The sequence below is a fragment of the Homo sapiens genome, chromosome 16 (assembly GCF_000001405.40).
Source record: "Homo sapiens chromosome 16, GRCh38.p14 Primary Assembly".
NCBI classification, from domain to species: Eukaryota; Metazoa; Chordata; class Mammalia; order Primates; family Hominidae; genus Homo; species Homo sapiens.
This window is the reverse complement of record NC_000016.10, coordinates 46,654,129-46,675,140: the sequence shown is the minus strand read 5'-3', so window position 1 is coordinate 46,675,140 and position 21,012 is coordinate 46,654,129. Positions and strand designations below refer to the sequence as shown.

The following is a 21,012-nucleotide window of genomic DNA, read 5'->3' as shown; positions in this document are numbered from 1 at the left end:
ATGAAAAAGGTTTCATTGGCAAAACTGTTTAGTTAAAAATGAATTGAGGAGGCCGGGTGCAGTGGCTCACATCTGTATTCCCAGCACTTTGGGAGGCCAAGGAGGGAGGCTTGCTTGAGTCCAGGTCAGTACCACCCTGGGCAACATGGTGAAACCCCATCACTACAGAAAACACAAAAATTAGCTGGGTATGGTGGCACATGCTGTTAGCCCCAGCTACTCAGGAGGCTGAGGTGGAAGGAGGATAGCCTGAGCTCAGCAGGTGGAGGTTTCATTGAGTGGAGAGTGCGTGACTGCACTCCAGCCTGGGCGACAGAGCGAGACTCTGTCTCAAAACAAAACAAAACAAAACAAAAAAAACAAAAACCTTTTGGGCTCATACAAAATATAGAAAAGCAATAAAGAATAAGATGTCATCCATGATCTCACTACCCAAACCCTGTATCTTTTAAAATAAAGGGGTGTTTTTTTTTTTTTTAGATTAGCTTTATTTGCTCACCGTGAAGATGGACCTGGAATCCCAGCGGATATTAAACTTTTTGATATATTTTCACAGCAGGTGGCTACAGTGATACAGGTTTGTGTAGCATTTCTCCTAAGTTCTCAAAACTTTGAAACTTCTCTGCCTTCCTTTTACAATTGTTTAAAATAAATTGTGTGGTTTTCTAAACATTCCAGTCTAGACAAGACATGCCTTCAGAGGATGTTGTATCTTTACAAGTCTCTCTGATTAATCTTGCCATGAAATGTTACCCTGATCGTGTGGACTATGTTGATAAAGTTCTAGAAACAACAGTGGAGATATTCAATAAGCTCAACCTTGAACAGTAAGTCAGTTACATTTTTGTAAAAATCCTCAAAGATATTTTTGTCCTAGATTTGCTTTTCTTTCTCAATTGTTTTTTGAACTGCTGGCATTTGTCTTGTTTTAATCATGCATTAAGATTGTCATGCTTAGCACTACTAGGGGCAGAAAGTAGTGACCAATTACTTGTTTTTTTATATTAAGGAAATTGTGGTACCTATGGACCATAGGCAGTCTTCAGGGACCAGTGTCTCCAATTTGGATCCCTTTCTGTGTGTCAGGGGCATCCAATCTTTTGGCTTCCCTGGGCTGCACTGGAAGAAGCATTTTCTTGGGCCACACATAAAATACACTAACACTAACAATAGCTGATGAGCTTAAAAAAAAAATCCCAAAAAAACTCATAATGTTTTAAGAAAGTTTACGAATTTGTGTTGGGCCGCATTCAAAGCCATCCTGGGCTGCATGCGGCCTGTGGGCTTTGGGTTGGACAAGCTTGCATGTGACTGAGTTTGTTCTTAAACTGGTAAGGAAACTTTGTCAGGCAGTATTTATTTCCATAAGTGGTGTTTTCCTACGAATCAGCACATGGTGAAAAATGAGGGGCTATGTATATTTAAGGTGCAGAATTAAATTGGTTTAAATATCTTTTCTATTTTGAGCTTTGATTTTGATACCTTAAAGGAAATATCAACAGTACTATTTCCAACCTGAAGCCTCCTCAGCTGTTCTGTCCTAGACTTATGGCGTCCTCTAGTGGCCACTATGGGCAGCTATGATCCTGTTACCTTCCCCAGCAGTTCCCTTCCTGCCCTGTTCCCCACTGCTCTGGCTTGGGTCAAGCCAGGCCTGCCTCCCGCCAACATATTCTTCAGAATTTTACCTCATGTAATCTTCCTCCTTTCTATCTCCCTTCCAGTGGTTTACCTGCATCAAGAAAATTTCTTCTTTTTTTCCTCCCTTTGTGTTACCCTTGTTCTTTTGGTCATTTTTGGTTTTGTGTGTGTGCAAACTGAAAACAAGTCCAGATGTGGAATGATAAGTGTGAGAGAAAATTAAATGATGTGCCAGGTGTGGTGGCTTGCACCTGTAATCCCAGCTATTCAGGAGGCTGAATTGGGAGAATCACTTGAGTCCATGAGTTTGAGAACAGCCTGGGCAACATAGCGAGACCCCGTCTCTAATAAAAAATAAAATTAAAAATAAAAAAAATTTAAATTAAAAAAACTAAATGATGTATCTGTGTCTTTCTCCCCAAGTGAATTTTAAAGTAAAAATAGACAAAGTAATTAGAAATAACAACCTCTAAAGAGGTTGTAATAAATGCCCCAATATGCCTCAATATCTACAGAATGATTTTACTAACAACTACGTAAAAGTCAGTCAGCCTGCTTTTCCTTAATCACCAACATCTGATGCAGAAGAAATAGTTTATGTGTTTTTCTGTTGTGTCAAATTGCTGGTTTTGCATGGAGTTTTTTTCCTATTTATTTTCATCATGAATATACAATACTTGTTGGCTGGCCCCTGGGAACCAAACTACCACTTAAAATACTTCCCTTAGAAATGTCATCAAATTCTAGACAGTCATCTTAACTCCAGCTATACCATCTGTTCATGAGTTGGAAACTGTATCTAGTTTTGTATCAACAGAAAAATAATAGATGAATATATATTTGTGTTTAGATAAGCATTTTTATCCTCCTGAAAGGAGGTTGTTATAGTCTTCTGTGGTGGTATGATTCACTTGACCCATTTCCTTTAATGTGTAATGAAAAATTTCAAATTCTTATGGAACAAATGCTATTTGTGTATATAGAAAGTTAATTTTATTCATTAAGACTTCTGTTTTTCTTTTTGTAGTATTGCTACCAGTAGTGCAGTTTCAAAGGAACTCACCAGACTTTTGAAAATACCAGTTGACACTTACAACAATATTTTAACAGTCTTGAAATTAAAACATTTTCACCCACTCTTTGAGTACTTTGACTACGAGTCCAGAAAGAGCATGAGTTGTTATGTGCTTAGTAATGTTCTGGATTATAACACAGAAATTGTCTCTCAAGACCAGGTAAGAGAATACCTACGTGCTATTTTAGGGAAACAGTGTTACAATTTTAGACTTTGGACCTAGATACCTGAGATGGGAGGGGAGGGTAATTCAATACTAAATAAAATTTACAAGTAACTTTTTCATTATATAAATTAAAAATTGGAGATGTATAAAGAATTATAAAACATTTATAATTCCACCAGATAGAGAATAACCACTGTTAATTAACATTTGGTGCATATCTTTCCAGACTTTTGTCTGTATATGTGTGTATGACATACATGTGTATCGACTTTCTCACCAAAAAAAGGAATATCTTGTTGATACTGTATTGTAATTTTATAACTGGAAACACTTTTGATAATGGCTTTGTATGCCAATGGTTTCACCTCAGTGGGTTTCTTGTGCCTCGCATGTTACAGGTGGATTCCATAATGAATTTGGTATCCACGTTGATTCAAGATCAGCCAGATCAACCTGTAGAAGACCCTGATCCAGAAGATTTTGCTGATGAGCAGAGCCTTGTGGGCCGCTTCATTCATCTGCTGCGCTCTGAGGACCCTGACCAGCAGTACTTGGTATGAGTTTACCCTTAGTATATCCCTGTATCAGCTCCTAGTGAAATCACATGTTCAAGTGCTTAAAATGGTTTAATTCACTTTCTGGTCTTAGATGGTTTTGAAGGAATTGCAACTGAATTAAAGATTCACTTGAACCTGGGAGGCGGAGGTTGTAGTGAGCCGAGATTGTGCCACTGCACTCCAGCCTGGGCAACACAGCGAGACTCCATCTCGAAAAAAAAAAAGATTCATGGCATCCATGGGCTTTTACTTTATATATAAACACATAATTGTTTGTAAACTTCTGGAGCATGTGAGTAACAATTCAGTTGCTCTGATTTCTTTTGAAGACTCTCTGAGAATTACAAAAAAGTCTGTCTTCTTTTGCTTGAGTGCCGATAATTATTCCATGTTCATTTTTTCTGAACTATGTATTGCTTATAATAAACTTTATAAGAAATACAATTCTTATATTTAATTTTACTTTTCCAAATTTGCAAGTATAAATTATATTTGTCATATTGAAAATGTGAGTTTTTGTTTTTTGATGAAAGATTTAAAAATTCATTTTGCCTTTTTCTTAACTTTTTTTTTTCTGATAAAGAACAATCACATGAGGTTCTCTCTTTATTATTAGTCCACAGGGAATCATTGTGAAATGGATAAAACATGTTGCCTGAGTAGGTGTATCAGTGACCGATACTAGATAGATAGTTTATTTTAGTGAAGGGTTAGCACAGTTGGCTGCTTAATTATTGTTTGGGCAAAGTAGTTTAACCATTCTTGGATGCATAAGGCTATTAGGCTGCTATGATGAAAAAGACATTTGCTTGAGGATGTCCTGACTGTCTCATCCCTTTCTGTTGACTTTCTTCATTGTAGTTGACACACCTGTACTTCATAATCAGTGTGAAATAAGAGGCTGACTTCTGTTGATAGTGTGATGGTCTTTGTCTTGGTTTAGTGACAAACATTCCAGGACTGTGGTATTGTGCTCTGTGAGCTATGTGATCTGTACAGAGTGACTGTCTTAAGTATTTTAACTGATTGCCTTATGTTTCTGTGTGAGATTGTTTGTATCTGTGTGTTTTCATTTTCTATTGCCTACCAAATATAGTAGTTAGAAACTATTCCTTCCGGCGGGGCATGGTGGCTCGCATCTATAATCCTGGCACTTTGAGAGGCTGAGGTGGATGGATCACCTGAGGTCAGGAGTTCAGGATCAGCATGGCCAACATGGTGAAACCCCATCTCTACTAAAAATGCAAAAAATTAGCTGGGCGTGGTGGTGGGCGCCTGTAATCCTAGCTGCTCAGGAGACTGAGGCAGGAGAATCACTTGAACCTGGGAGGTGGAGGTTGCAGTGAGTGGATATCATGCCATTGCACTCCAGCCTGGGCAACAAGAGTGAAACTCCGTCTCAAAAAAAATTATGCCTTCTGCATGTGGCTGATTGGTTATTCCCATGTATGGAGATCTTTAATGATAGGGTCATTAGCTCTGACTGCCCCTAGGGGAAATGCATTCTCTTATTCATCTACCATATCAGGAATTTCACAAAACCTGAATGCCATTGTGTCACATATACTAAAAATATTTTATAAACTCTGTGTTTTTCTTGTAATTTTTCTGAATTGGCTATATGTTGTGCCATTTCAGAAAAAAAAATCCAAGAAAAACACAGAATTCATGGAATATTTCACAAGTAGCTCTTTTAAAGTATGTTAGCATTTTCCTTGACTTAAATGGTCTTAAAATTTTTTTGAATGAGGAGGTATGATGTACCAGTAATATGCATATAGTTGTTGTGTATCATAGTAATAGTTAATATTACTGAGCTTATGCCTTGTGCTAAGTAGTGGTAAGCCTTCACATGTGTCACTTGATCTTCCCAACAACCCTAGGAGTTTATAGAAACTTGTGGCTAAGAGAAGGTAAATAATTTGCCCAAGGCCACACATGTAATAAGTATTAGCATCTGCTTTTAAATGTGAGTCTCTGAGTATCTTCACAGCCTTCTTTTTTTCTCTTTTCTTTTTTCTTTTTTTTTTTTTTTGAGATGGAATCTTGCTCTGTCACCCAGGCTGGAGTGCAGTGGCATGATCCCAGCTTACTGCAACCTCCATCTCCTGGGTTCAAGCAATTCTCCTGCCTCAGCCTCCTCAGTAGCTGAGATTACGGGTGTGCGCCACCATGCCCAGCTAATTTTTGTATTTTTAGTAGATACAGGGTTTCCCTATGTTGGCCAGGCTGGTCTCGAACTCCTGACCTCAACTGATCTGTCCACCTTCGGCCTCCCAAAGTGCTGGGATTACAGACATGAGTCACCACACCTGGCCAGAGCCTACATTCTTTATCAGTGCAGCATACTTTGCACATGTGTGTATGAAAATATATTTAAATATATCTTTGCTTCTAACTCGCTACCTTGGGCAGGTTATACAACCTCTCTGAAACTCAGGCTTCCCCATTTGTGAAATGGAATAGTATCTGTCTCTGGGTTGTTGTGACAACTTGAGGAGATAAGAAATATGTAAATTGCCTACCATAAAGTATGGTACATTGTATATATTCACAAAATGTTAGCAATGATGATTAGAGCCCACATTTATTTCACAAATGATTAATCAGAGTTTGGAAATTTTTTTTTCTTTAATGCTTTTGGGTCAGATTTTGAACACAGCACGAAAACATTTTGGAGCTGGTGGAAATCAGCGGATTCGCTTCACACTGCCACCTTTGGTATTTGCAGCTTACCAGCTGGCTTTTCGATATAAAGAGAATTCTAAAGTGGTGAGTTTACTTTTAAGTATTTAGGTACTTTTTTTCCTCTTTCATCACTCTGAGTGTGTGTGTGTTTGTTTTATATTATAAAAAATTTCAAACGTACAAAAATAGACAGTGGTATAATAAAATCCCATTTTCGCCAACTCTCTATTTGTTACTTATCCTGTGCTAAGTGTTCCTAACGGTGATGGTGGTGGATCACATACTGAGGGATCACGTAAAAAGCACTTAGAAATGCAAGATTAAAGCAGTGTGAATTTATGCTGAAACTCTTTCCTAAGTTCTAATTCAGGTTAGCTTTAAAACCTAAGGAGAGGGCCTAGCATTGCAGTCGTTTCTCTCTAAAGGCATATCATTGAATAATATGAGTTGTGGGCAACTTTTTATGAGCTTTTTTCTTCCTCAAAATGGAACCATGGCTTGAGTCTTCACAGTGTAGTTTTGAAGAAAATACCTCAAGCTCACGTACCTGAAAGTTGGACATTCAGGTTAATGTTAAGGAACAACCTCAGTAACTTAATTTTGTTTGTTTGTTTGTTTTGAGATAGGGTCTCATTCTGTCGCCCGGGCTGGAGTACAGTGGCGCAGTCTTAGCTCACTGCAACCTCCAACTCCTGGGTTCAAGCGATTCTTGTGTGTCAGCCTCCTAAGTAGCTGGGATTACAGGTGTGCACCACCATGCCCAGCTAATTTTTGTATTTTTAGTAGAGACAGGGTCTTGCCATGTTGACCAGTTGGTCTCGAACTTGTGGCCTCAGGTGATCCTGCTGCCTCAGCCTCTCAAAGTGCTAGGATTGTAGGTGTGAACCACTGCATCTGGCCTCAGTATGGACTTGATTTTCTCGTAATAGAGAAAAAAGATGTATGCAGTAGACCTACCAGCATGAAACAGCAGCTTTTGGCCAATTTTTATTAGGCCAGCTTATCATTCACTCTTTACCAGCGTTTATGGATAGGAATTTGTGAATATAACAATAAAAATAGCAACCAGCCTACATTACAAAGCCATAGTAATTAAAGCAGTATGGTAATATGGTACTGGCATAAAAACAGACACATAGACCAATGGAACAGAATAGAGAGTCTAGAAATAAACCCACACATATGCAATAAACTAATCTTTGATAAGGACACCAAGAATACACAAAGGGGAAAAGAATGGTCTCTTCAATAAATAGTATTGGGAAAGTTGGATATCCACATGCAAAAGAACGCATTTGGACTCTCATCTTATGCCATATATAATAATGAACTCAAAATGGATTAAAGACCTGAAACCATAAAGCTCCTAGAAGAAAACATAGGGAAAAACCTCCTTGTCATTGGTCAATGATTTTTTGGATATGAAACCAAAAACCTATGCAACTAAAGCAAAAATAAGTTTAAAAATAAGCAAAAAATAAGTTTAAAATAAGCTTAAAATAAGCAAAAATAAGTTTAAAATAAGCAAAAAATAAGCAAAAATAAGTTTAATAAACTAAAAACCTTCTGTACAACAAAGGAAACAATCAGCAGAGTGAAGAGACAGGCAATGGAATGGGGGAGAATATTTGCAAACTATACATCTGAAAAGTGGTCAATATCTAAAATATATATGGAATGCAACTCAATAGCAAGCAAATGAATAACTTGATTTAAAAATGAGCAAAGGATCTGAATAGACATTTTTCCAAAGAAGACATACAGGTGGCCAACTGGTATATGAACAGATGTTCAACATCATTTATCAGGAAAATGTAAATCAAAACCACTATGAGATGTCACCTCACATCTGTCAGAATAACTGTTATCAAAAAAACAGAAAATCAAGTGTTGGCAAGGATGTAGAGAAATGGGAACCCTGTTTATTATTGGTGGGAATATAAATTAGTATAGCCATTATGGAAAACAGTATGGAGGTTCCTCAAAAAACTGAAACTAGAACTACCATGTGACCCTGCAGTCCCACATCTAGTTATGCATTCAAAGGAAAGGAAATCAGTATCTCAAAGAGATATCTGCACTCCCATGTTTATTGCAGCATTATTCACAATGGCTGAGATATGGAAACAACCTTAGTGTCCATCGATAGATGAGTAAAGAAATTGTGTTGTGTATATATGTGTGTGTATATACGTATATATGTGTGTATATGTATGTACGCACATATTCTCTACATAGTAGAATAATACTCAGCTATAGAAATGAAGAAAATCTTGCCATTTATGACAACAGGGATTAATCTGGAGGACATTGTTCTAAGTGAAATAAGCCAAACACAGAAAGGCAAATACTATATGACTTCATTTATATGTAGAATTGTTTTTTAAGTTGAATTCATCCAGCCTGGGTAATATAGCAAGACCCAATCTCTATTAAAAAATAAAAAGGCCAGGTGTGGGGGCTCACGCCTGTAATCGCAGCACTTTGGGAGGCCGAAGCAGGCGGTTCACCTGAGGTCGGGAGTTTGAGAACAGCCTGACCAACATGGAGAAACCCCGTCTCTACTGAAAATACAAAATTAGCTGGGCGTGGTGGCGCATGCCTGTAGTCCCAGCTACTCGGGAGTCTGAGGCAGGAGAATCACTTGAACCCGGGACGCAGAGGTTGTGGTGAGCCGAGATCGTGCCATTGCACTTCAGCCTGGGCAACAAGAGTGAAACTCCGTCTAAAAAAAAAAAAAAAAAATTAAAAAATTAGCCAGGCGTGGTGGTACATGCCTATAGTCCTAGCTACTCAAGAGGCTAGGGCAGGGCTGGGTGTGGTGGCTCACACCTGTCATCCTAGCACTTTGGGAGGCCAAGGTGGGTGGATCATTTGGGATCAGGAGTTTGAGACCAGCCTGGCCAACATGGTGAAACCCTGTCTCTACTAAAAATACAAAAATTAGCCAGGTGTGAGGGCACATGCCTGTAATCCCAGCTACTTGGGAAGCTGAGGCAGGAGAATCACTTGAACCCGGGAGGCAGAGGTTGCAGTAAGCTGAGATCGCGCCACTGCACTCCAGCCTGGGTGACAAAGTGAGACTCTGTCTCAAAAAAAAGAGGCTAGGGCAGGAGGACAGCTTGAGCCCAGGAGTTGGAGGCTGCAGTGAGTTATGATTGTGCTTTTGCGCTCCAGCCTGGGTGACAGAGGGAGACCCAGTCACTAAAAAATGGTTGAACTTGTGTAAGCAAAGACTAGAACAGTAGTTGCCAAAGAATACAAACTTTCAGTTATAAGATAAAAAAATTCTGGGGATCAAAACGATTTAGGGCAAATAAATAAAAGTAACTAGCCTTTACTTATTTACTAGCATTTCTTACTGTGTTGTCACCCACTGTGCCAAGGTCTATGACTGCCACTGTCACTTTTTTTTTTTTTTTTGAGTCAAGGTCTTTGTTGCCCAGACTGGGATACAGTGGTATGATTACGGCTCACTGCAGCTTCGAACTCTTAGGCTCAAGCGATCCTTCCATTTCAGCCTCCTGAGTAGCTGGGACTGCAAGCATGTGCCACCACACTGGCTAATTTTTTATTTTTTGTAGAGACAGAGTCTCACCATGTTGCCTAGGCTGGTCTGAAACTCTTGGGCTCAAGCGATCCTCCTGCCTCCTTGGCCTCCCTAAGTGTTGGGATTACAGGCATGAGCCACCATGCCCAGCCTGTCGCCATCTTTTAAAAATGAAAAGAACTGATTGCTTTAACAAGAAGAAATTTGGATAGTCAATCATGATAAAATATTTAACCTCGCTTGTAATTACAACAGCGAACCTTTTAAGAAATCAAATTGGCAAAGAGAAATGAAAAATAAGGTTCAGCAATGGCGATGGTGTGATGAAAATTCATTCTCATCTAATGTTGGCAGTGTGAATTACTATAATACTTCTAGGAAGTTGGCGGTGTGTAAGTAGGGTGTTAAAATATTCAATAATTTTACTTCCAAGTGGAATTCCAAGAATTTATACTAAGGGAATAATTAGGGTCTCAATAAAGCTTAGTGTATATAGAACATTCATTGTAATATTACAGATTATGTCTAAAAGGGAATAGTTCAATAAATTATGCCATAGCCAGTCTCCATAATATTTTCTAGTCATTAAAATGATTTCGAATTAGTATCGGGAAGATTGTTAGGACAAAATAGGAAAAATTAGAGCTGGGTGCAGTGGCTCACGCCTGTAATCCTAGCACTTTGGGAGGCTGAGGCAGGCGGATCACCTGAGGTCGGGAGTTTGAGACCAGCCTGACCAATATGGAGAAACCCCGTCTCTACTAAAAATACAAAATTAGCTGGGTGTGGTGGCGCATGCCTGTAATCCCAGCTATTCGGTAGGCTGAGGCAGGAGAATCACTTGAACCTGGGAGGCGGAGGTTGTGGCGAGCTGAGATCATGCCATTGCACTCCAGCCTGGGCAACAAGAGGGAAACTACTTCTCAAAAAAAAAAAAAGAAAAGAAAAGAAAAATTAGATACAAATTACTTGAAGTGTGAATCGATTTTAACTCTCAAGAAAATAAGGTCTAGATGCAGTGGCTCACGCCAGTAATCCTAGCACTTTGGGAGGCTGAGATGGGTGGATCACTTGAGGTCAGCAGTTCAAGACTAGCCTGGCCGATAAGGTGAAACCCCTTCTCTACTAAAAATACAAAAAATAGCAGGGCGTGGTGGCGCGCTTGTAATCCCAGCTACTCAGGAGGCTGAGGCAGAAGAATGGTTTGAACCCAAGAGGCAGAGGTGGCAGTGAGCCGAGATCGCACCAAAGAGAAAAAAGAAAACCACACACAAAAATGCCAGTTATATTACAGTTACATAGAAAAAAAGAAAGGAAGACATTTAGCATCCGAATGTTACCAGTGATTATCCGTGGGTGGTAGATTTAGGGATGATGTGTGGATGATTTTGTGTATTTTTCTAATTTTCTCCAATTTGGGAATGTAACTTACAAATCAGAAAAAACAATTATCAGCCAGGTGTGATGGCTCATGCCTGTAATCCCAACACTTTGGGAGGCTGAGGCGGGAGGTTTGCTCGGGGCCAGTAGTTCAAGATCAGCCTGGGCAACAGAATGAGACCCTGTCTCTACAAAAAAAAAAAAAAAAAAAAAAAAAAAAATTAGCCAGGTGTGGTGATGCAAGCCTGTAGTCCTAGCTATTCGGGAGTCTGAGGTGGGAGCATCACTTGAACCCAGGAGTTCAAGGCTGCAATGAGCTGTGATCACACCACTGCACTCCAGCTGGGTAACAGAGCTGTTGAAAAAAAAAAAAGGAAAGAAAAAACAGGTTGAGTGCAGTGGCTCACGCCTGTGATCCCAGCACTTTGGGAGGCTGAGGCGGGCAGATCACTTGAGGTCAGGAGTTACCAGCCTGGCCAACTTGGTGAAACCCCGCCCCACTTGGTGAAACCCCGCCCCTACTAAAAATACAAAATTAGCTGGGTGTGGTGGTGGGCACCTGTAATCCCAGCTACTCGGGAGGCTGAGGCAGGAGAATCACTTGAATCCAGGAGACGGAGGTTGCAGTGAGCCAAGATTGTGCCACTGCACTCCAGCCTGGGCAACAAGAGCAAAACTCTGTCTCAAAAAGAAAAAACAAATACCAAATACATTAACATTGCAAAGGCAATTTAACCTCAAATGATGTTTTGAGAAGACATCCTGCTTGATTTACTTGTTTGCCCTATAACTGAAACAGAGAAGGAAAATGACAGGAAAACTGTGCACACAACTTACAGTATTTTGTTCTATTAAAATGGATATCCTGGAACAAGTTAATTTTGAATTTAAGGTAACTTAAAATGTTTTTTCTTGTTTTAGGATGACAAATGGGAAAAGAAATGCCAGAAGATTTTTTCATTTGCCCACCAGACTATCAGTGCTTTGATCAAAGCAGAGCTGGCAGAATTGCCCTTAAGACTTTTTCTTCAAGGAGCACTAGCTGCTGGGGAAATTGGTTTTGAAAATCATGAGACAGTCGCATATGAATTCATGTCCCAGGTGATGATCTGTTCTTTCTGCGTTGTCATGTCAGCTCTGCTGGGTTCAGTTGCTTGTTTGCAGGCATGGTGGTAATGCACATGAATTTACTCTTCTTTTACTGAATGTGTAACTACCACCTTCCCACCATCATGGAACCTGTTAATATTATTGTTGTAATTGACTGGTGTTGATCATTTGCTGATGAAATCTAAGATTTCCAAGTGGGTCATGGTAAAAATGTTTCATGGAACATAAAATTCGGGAAATGCACTCAATTCCCAAAATCCAGTTTGGGAACCCTGGGTTAAACAAAGTTGAAAGAAGTTTCTTTATTGCAACTTTTTAGCGTTTTTACCATCTCAGTTGTGTCCTGTGGCTCTCAAGAGAGGGTGCAGCATGTTCTGATATGAAGGCTGCAGAAGTCTCACAGGATGGAGGTTTGGTGACAAGTACTTTGGAAAATGCTCAACTAGAGGATGGTTGGTCCTTGAAAGTCCTTTCTGCTTTATGTTCACTAGGCATTTTCTCTGTATGAAGATGAAATCAGCGATTCCAAAGCACAGCTAGCTGCCATCACCTTGATCATTGGCACTTTTGAAAGGATGAAGTGCTTCAGTGAAGAGAATCACGAACCTCTGAGGACTCAGTGTGCCCTTGCTGCATCCAAACTTCTAAAGAAACCTGATCAGGGCCGAGCTGTGAGCACCTGTGCACATCTCTTCTGGTCTGGCAGAAACACGGACAAAAATGGGGAGGAGGTAAGGTCATTCCTGACTGCATGATAGCAGACAGGATCCATAACAGGGATCAGTTGTCATGGCCTTGTGTTCTGGAGGTGAAACATTTGGGGTGCTTGGAAATCTGATGAACAAAATTGCTTTGTTTTGTTAAAAAAGAGAGTCTCATCCTGTAGTGAAGCCTCTGCTTTGAGGATATTGTAACATAGCAAGTTCAAACCACTACCTGTTTTTAAAAAAATACAGCTGTATACTTCAAAACAAGAAGAAGGAGAATGAAAAGGATTTAAATTTGTTATGTCCCTTTAAAACACGAAAGAGCCACGGTAGTGTTGTGTTTCTTTGTATGAAAACGAGATGTTTCATTAATCTCTTCACTGTCCCCCTGCCCTTTTATTTTAGCTTCACGGAGGCAAGAGGGTAATGGAGTGCCTAAAAAAAGCTCTAAAAATAGCAAATCAGTGCATGGACCCCTCTCTACAAGTGCAGCTTTTTATAGAAATTCTGAACAGATATATCTATTTTTATGAAAAGGAAAATGATGCGGTAAGTGAATTAGTAAAGTGTTGTTAATAAACTAATATTTTCCCTTCCTACTCTTAGGAGATTTGATATGTACAAAAGTTTATCATTCTGATACTTTAATCACTGTTCATTTGAAAAATGTAAAATAATTTACAGATGTCAAATAATAGGCTAATTTGTCATAATGTTCTAGTTTAAGATAATTCCTAGGCTGGGCGTGGTGGCTCATGCCTGTAATCCCAGCACTTTGGGAGGCTGAGGCAGGCAGATCACCTGAGGTCAGGAGTTTGAAACCAGCCTGGCCAACATTGTGAAACCCCATCTCTACTAAAAATACAAAAATTAGCTAGGCGTGGTGGCAGGCGCCTGTAATCCCAGCTACTTGGAAGCCTAAGGCAGGAGAATCGCTTGAACCTGGGAGGTGGAGGCTGCAGTGAGCCAAGACTGTGCCATTGCACTCCTGCCTGGGCAACAAGAGTGAAACTCCGTCTCAAAAATAATAATAATAATAATTCCTAAACGCAGTATCCTTTTAGCAATACAGTTTTGGTCAAGATTTGTAAGTTAAATAAAATTTTGCTTGTTTTTCTTTTTTTGACAGAGTCTGGCTCTGTCACCCAGGCTGGAGTGCAGTGGCAATCTCAGCTCATTGCAACCTCTGCCTCCCAGGTTCAAGCAATTCTCATGCCTCAGCCTCCTGAATAGCTGGTATTATAGGCGCCCGGCACCACGCCCAGCTAATTTTTGTATTATTACTAGAGATGGGGTTCCACCATGTTGGCCAGGCTGGTCTCAAAACTCCTGACTTCAAGTGATCTGCCCACCTCAGCCTCCCAAAGTGCTGGGAGTACAGGGATGAGCCACTGAGCCGAGCCAATTTTGCTTGTTTTAAAGGGTTGTTTTTTTTTTTTTTTTTTTGATAGTCAGTAATTGTTCAAACTAGGAATTGTATCCCCATCTTTCTTTTTTCATAATTACTCAGGTAATTGATGAGTGTAACAGAAGCTCCTCAAAACAGTTTTATTAAATTGCCTTTCATTTTTTGTGGTACGTGCTTGATCATGAATTTGTACATATTCTTTTGTAGGTAACAATTCAGGTTTTAAACCAGCTTATCCAAAAGATTCGAGAAGACCTCCCGAATCTTGAATCCAGTGAAGAAACAGAGCAGATTAACAAACATTTTCATAACACACTGGAGCATTTGCGCTTGCGGCGGGAATCACCAGAATCCGAGGGGCCAATTTATGAAGGTCTCATCCTTTAAAAAGGAAATAGCTCACCATACTCCTTTCCATGTACATCCAGTGAGGGTTTTATTACGCTAGGTTTCCCTTCCATAGATTGTGCCTTTCAGAAATGCTGAGGTAGGTTTCCCATTTCTTACCTGTGATGTGTTTTACCCAGCACCTCCGGACACTCACCTTCAGGACCTTAATAAAATTATTCACTTGGTAAGTGTTCAAGTCTTTCTGATCACCCCAAGTAGCATGACTGATCTGCAATTTAAAATTCCTGTGATCTGTAAAAAAAAAAAAAAAAAAAAACACAAAACCCACAAGCACTTATCTTGGCTACTAATGAAGCTCTCCTTTTTTTTGTTTGTTTGTTTGCTTCATTGTTGATTGTGTATTTTCTTCATTCCTGGGGAGTACTAACCCAAAAGCGTCTGTCTCTTGTTTTCTAGTCCAGTTTGAGATTAATTTAGAAGAAAGGAATACTGTATGTGAAATTCATCTTGGGCTTTCCCCTAAATTGCAAGATAAGGCCATGTGTAAGATTTTCCCTAAAACTAGAATATATTAATGCATGTTTGAGAATTTTAAAGCACCATGGTCAAAACCAGAAGCTATATTTTGCATATTTGGACTCAGCCATCCATTAAGAACCCATGTTGTCCTCTGGACATATTTATCAATATAATTGGGTTTTAAATAGTATAAAAGAAAACTTGTGATCTATATAATTTATGTATCACCTTCATTGTAAATTTAGCAGGAAATGCATCACAATTATGATTTTTTTTTTTGCACCAGTGAAACAATAAAGATGCTATTAACAATTTTGGAGCTTTTTTTCCCCTTTCATACTATCTTTAATTGATAAAAAGTACTAGTAGTATGGCTATAGAGTTTAATAGTCATTCTCATATATTCACAGAGCTCACTTAACTCTAGTTTTAAGCACTTGTTGAACAAGGCAGCATCTACTCTTTTAGTCATTTATACCCCTTTTCTTTCCTCAACTTTACCCTGCTTTTCCCAAGGCATGATGAATTCACATAAACCCCCCAAAGGCTCACCACCGATACTAGTTACCTACTATATAATAAACCATCCCAAAACTTACTGTCTTAAAACAGCAAACATTTATCTCACAGGTCTCTGGATCAGGAATTTGGGAGCAGCTTAGCTGGTGGTTCTGGCAAAGAGTGTGGTGTAAGGTTGCAAACAAGATACTGGTTGGGGCTGCAGTCATCTGATGCTTTGACTGGGGCTGACTTTTCTGCTCACTGACCTGGCTGTTAGGCAGAGGCCCCAGTTCCTCTTCTTGAGGGCAGAGGCCCCAGTTCCTCTCCTTGAGGGCAGAGGCCTAAGTTCCTTTCCTTGAGGGCAGAGGCCCCAGTTCCTCTCCTTGACGGCCCTTCCATAGAGTGTCCTCACAGCATGGTGGCTGGCTTTCCCCTGAGTATGAAAGCAAGAAGGAAACCACAGTGCCTTTCAGTGGCCTCCCTGTGGAAGTGACATGCTCATTTTTGCCTTATTCTGTAAGTGGGGAGTCACTAAGTCTAGCCTATATTCAAGGGTAAGGAGAATTAAGCTCCACCTCTTAAAGGGAAAATTTATAGACATTTTCAAATGACTACATCACTTAACCCCTCACCATCTGCCCTCCCATTGCTAGCACTTGATGACTAGCCCTTGCTGGGCTTTACATGAACAGATGTTTCCCAAAGTTATAAAATTAGTACCACTAAAATGTATCAAATGTTAAGCCATTCTGTGGTATGTCATAGTCCAGCAAACCCTTTCTGTTCTTTGTAGGTGTTAGTTTACCCCGTATAAACCTGATTATGGCTTGACATGTCCATATTATTTACATGTTTTGTGAAATACAACTGGAATAGTAGAAAAGACATGAGTCAAGAACACTTGAGTTGGAGAGCTTGGTTTGCAAGTAAGGTAATGTCAGTACAGTGTGTAAATTATCTCTTATTTTCTGGGTTGAGGTAAACCCAATTTTAAAAATAATAAACCAACAAAAGTAAATAAAAGTGAAACAAAAGCACTGCTAGTATCCTTAACTTACAGATTTTTTTTGTTGAACAAAAACTGGGTACCAGATATAGTTAGGCACTGAATCTAAAGGTGAAGAAGATCATAGCCTCTAGCTTCAAGAACGTTAGTCTGCTGTGAAGACAGACCTGTAGTTACAGAAGATGGTAAGGGTTTGTGCAGGAGAGCAGTGAAGAAGAGCTTTGAGGGATTGGGGATGGGGAAGTTCTGCAGAGGGTTGTATGAATTCTCATGGAACATCAAGTCCAATAGTTTATTTAGCCTTCTGAGGCCAGTGCTTTGGCCTGCAGTCCCAGGCTCCTCAGACCCATGGGCTGAAGCAAGTTATACTCTTGGCTGCCTGTAGTGAAATAGATATTTAGAAATTGACTTAGCATTTAAAACCCTTTATAGCAATTTGACAGAGTAATTTTATGTCTATTGGATGTAATAAATATTTGGCTTTGTGCTTTGTGTGTCTGCTATTCCCTGTTCTCCTTTTTTAGTAATTTTTATTGTGTCTTACAAAAAAGTACCTGTCCTTAATTGGGGTGTGGTGGGGAATCCCTCACAGGTGGATGGAAACGCTGAACCAGGGCAGGCTTGGTGCTGAATGGCATTAAATTCCAAGACTAGGGGATAGTTTGGGGGGACACATCTAGGAAGATGCTGTGACTGGATGAGAGATGCCTGCCGTGTTAGACTTTCCTACCCTCCCTTTCCTGCCTCTACCCAGGAAACCAGTGATTCTTAGAGTCCAGATGATCCCTTCTTTGCCTAGAAATTCATGTTTCTGACTCATCCTCAAGCCTGAAATTGGTGGTCATCAGGTTAATGAACTGCAAAAACAGCCCCTGCTGATAGACACTGCTCAAAGAGAGAGGCGTTTGAGTTGATCAGGCACCAGAGCACCTAGAAGGAGAATGATGAGCACTTGTGTACAGTTCGTGTGCAGCTCTCAAAGGCATTGAGAAATGTGACAGACCTCAAGGAATAAATGCACCACCACAGGCACTGAGGGGATTTAAACACAAAGTCTAGGTTCCAGAGGGGTCTTCTGTTAACATTTGCTCTCTCATTCAGAGACCTCAAGGTAATAAGCTCAAGCAGAAAGGATTTCCCAACAGAATTGTCTTTGACAATGGGAATTCCAGACTGCATATTGTAAATGAAAGGTAGAGAAATCTGTGCAGGAGACCTTCCTGTTTGCTGGGGTTTGTCCTATGGGGATGCTGTAGGCATGGACAACAGACACTGATTCAGGTGCCAGTATCTACACATTTACCATACACTTGAATTCCCAAGAGTAGTGACTTGCCTTAGGTTTGATTAAAGACAAATGTTTCCTGGCTTGTGGTCTTGTATTGCTGATTACTCCAGTAGGGCACCCTGCATTGTCCAACAAAATGGTCCATGCTTCCAAAATCTCTGGAGAGGGACTGTATATTTTATTTTTTTGAGACGGAGTCTTGCTCTGTCACCCAAGCAGGAGTGCAGTGGTGCGATCTTGGCTCACTGCAACCTCCGCCTCCCCAGTTCAAGCAATTCTCCTGCCTCAGCCTCCCGAGTAGCTGGGATTACAGGCGTGCACCACCATGCCTGGCTAATTTTTGTATTTTTAGTACAGATGGGGGTTTCACCATGTTGGCCAGGCTGGTCACGAACTTCTGACCTTGTGATCCACCTGGCTCAGCCTCCCAAAGTGCTGGAATTACAGGCATGAGCCACCTTGCCCAGCCAGATTGTATATTGTACCACTCATTGCTGTGTTCAGGCTTGCATCAGTAGTGTCTTCAAATAAGTAAAATCTTAGGCTGTGACTTAAATCCATTTTCACTTAGAGAAATAGAAACACAAGGAAACCTTTGGACGCTTCATAACTGCTGGGAAAGGGGTATTATCAATTGTGTTTGAGAGTCAAACTATAAATTACTTCCCAAGGTTAGTTCTACCTATGCCCAGGAATGAACAAGGACAGCTTAAAGGTTAGAAGCAAGATGGAGTCATTTGGGTCTGATCTCTTTCACTGTCATAATTTCCTCAGTTACAATTTTTGTAAAGGTGGTTTCAAATGCTTTGCTGACCTCCCATAAACAAGGATGTGCCAATTGTAACTTCAGTTCTGCAATTCAAGTCTGCTCCCAAAACTAAAGTCCATTGAATTGCATACTGATTGATAATGTTCATTACGAGTTTATCTTCCCATGTGCAGAGCAAAGACAAGAGGAGATCAGCCATTCCTCCACCTACCCAGAGACGTTGCATTGGAAAGGAGCCGTATCTTCTAGTATGGTTTTGCAAATGTAAAATGTAAAATCTATGCACGCTCACAGGAAGGGAGAAAGAAAAAAAATAAAAGAGGAAGGGTAAGAAAAAAAGTAAAATGTAAAATCCGCCTGATCTATTTTTAGAAATCAGGTTCTATCATTGTTTTTTCAAGCCTTGTCTTTAATTACATACACAAAGGTGATGGAATACTTTCATATACTAGTACTGTCAATTAAAAATAAAACCTTAAGCCCCCCAGCTGACTGAATGGACTCCCTTTTGGCCAAGGAGACCCCCGTGAAACCTGAAAAACCAAGTTCTTGGCCATGATGAGAAGGGAGATTGGACTCGCCCTATTGTACCGCCTTGCTTTTGGAGTTTAGGCACAACTGACCAGTATTAAAGTTAAAATATAGATCATTGGCTGGGCGTGGTGGCTCATGCCTGTAATCCCAGCACTTTGTGGGGCCGAGGCAAGTGGATCACTTGAGCCAGGAGTTCAAGACCAGCTGGCCAACATGGTGAAACCCTGTCTCTACTAAAAATACAAAAATTAGCCAGGCATGGTGGTGCACGCCTGTAATCCCAGCTACTCATGAGACTGAGACAGGACAATTGTTTGAACTCGGGAGGCTGAGGCAGGACAATCATTTCAGCTGAGATTGTGCCACTGTACTCCAGCCTGGGTAACAGTAAGACTCCATCTAAAAAAAAAAATCATTACTGACACTTGTTTGAATTTGGGGGGGAAAGGAAAGAAAAAAATGTAAGACTGACAAAACACTGTGGCAGTAAGATACTAAATTATAAACAAGGCCTAAGTCCATTGCAAGGTAGGGGTTAAGTCACACCTTACAAACCATGAAACCTTCATTTAAATGGGTTTTTTATTAACTCGGGATAATGTGGCTTACTTTCCAACCTGACTCTCATAAGGCATCGCATGACTGACAGCAGACCACCTCCCACCTTATCAGAACTTAAGCATTCCTTTCTACTAACTTCAAGTCTTTAGACGAAGCTTAACTCTTTCAAGCAACTACCAACTAAAGCATCCCTAAAACCCACCTATGACTTGTAAGCCGCAGCTCTGAAACGTCCCGCCTTTTCAGGCCAAACCAATGTATACCTTCCATGTATTGATGTGATTTTATCTGCAATTCTTGCCTCCCTAAAACATATAAAAACCAAACTGTGGGCCAGGCATGGTGGTTCATCCCAGCACTTTGGGAGGCCAAGGTGGGCAGATCGCTTGAGCCCAGGAGTTCAAGACCAGCCTGGGCAACATGGTGAAATTGCATCTCTACAAAAATACAAAAGCTAGCCGGGCATGGTGGTGCACATCTACAGTCCCAGCTACTTGAGAGGCTGAGATGGGAGGATCACCTGAGCCTGGGAAGTCGAGGCTGCAGTGAGCCGTGGTCACATCACTGCACTCCAGCCTGAGCTACAGAGTGAGACCCTGTCTCAAAACAAAAAACAAGAAAAGTTGTAACTCAACTGCCCTAGGCGCACTTTCTCAGGGCCTCTTGAGACTGTGTTTCCCAGGCCGTGCTCACTCATATTGGCTCAGAATAAACCTTTAACAAATATTGTACAGTTTTTTTTTTCCATTAACAGTACAAACAGGCCAGGCATGGTGGCTCACACCTGTAATCCCAGCACTTGGGGAGGCCGAGGTAGGTGGATCAATTTGAAACCAGGAGTTTGAGACTAGCCTGGTCAACATGGTGAAACCCCATCTCTACTAAAAATACAAAAAATTAGCTGAGTGTGGTGGCACATGCCTGAATCCCAGCTACTCCAGAGGCTGAGGCACAAGAATTGCTTGAGCCTAGGAGGCTGAGGTTGCAGTGAGCTGAGATCTCCCCACTGCATTACAGCCTGGGCAATAGAGCAAGACTGTCTCAAAAACAAACAAAAAAAACCCCACAACAGTACAAACAAAAGGGTTGAATATATTTAAACAGCGAGCCTTATCAAGGAATAAAATGGATTGATTAGGATATTGTCCCTCTCCCTCTCCCCCTCTCCCTTCCTCTCCCTCTCCCTCTCCCCACGGTCTCC

The 21,012-nt window shown here is 40.5% G+C and overlaps 1 protein-coding gene across 3 annotated transcripts in view, besides 1 other annotated feature; it reads left to right on the top strand.

Moving 5' to 3' along the window:
• Positions 1–19,009, top strand: part of VPS35 (VPS35 retromer complex component) — a 33,047-nt gene extending 14,038 nt beyond the window's left edge. For all 3 annotated transcript variants that reach the window (NM_018206.6, XM_011523227.4, XM_005256045.4), the window contains 9 exons: positions 481–577; positions 679–827; positions 2,669–2,876; positions 3,281–3,436; positions 6,089–6,211; positions 11,979–12,158; positions 12,659–12,898; positions 13,280–13,423; positions 14,490–19,009. In NM_018206.6, coding sequence (NP_060676.2) covers positions 481–577; positions 679–827; positions 2,669–2,876; positions 3,281–3,436; positions 6,089–6,211; positions 11,979–12,158; positions 12,659–12,898; positions 13,280–13,423; positions 14,490–14,669 — 1,477 coding nt within the window. In that variant the 3' untranslated portion in view covers positions 14,670–19,009. The remainder of the gene's footprint in view (positions 1–480; positions 578–678; positions 828–2,668; positions 2,877–3,280; positions 3,437–6,088; positions 6,212–11,978; positions 12,159–12,658; positions 12,899–13,279; positions 13,424–14,489) is intronic.
• Positions 1,485–1,654: a silencer, noted in NCBI's record as "silent region_7430". NCBI's record gives its function as "represses an Ori minimal core promoter by ATAC-STARR-seq in GM12878 lymphoblastoid cells {active_cell/tissue: GM12878}" and the evidence as "EXISTENCE:reporter gene assay evidence [ECO:0000049][PMID:35858748]".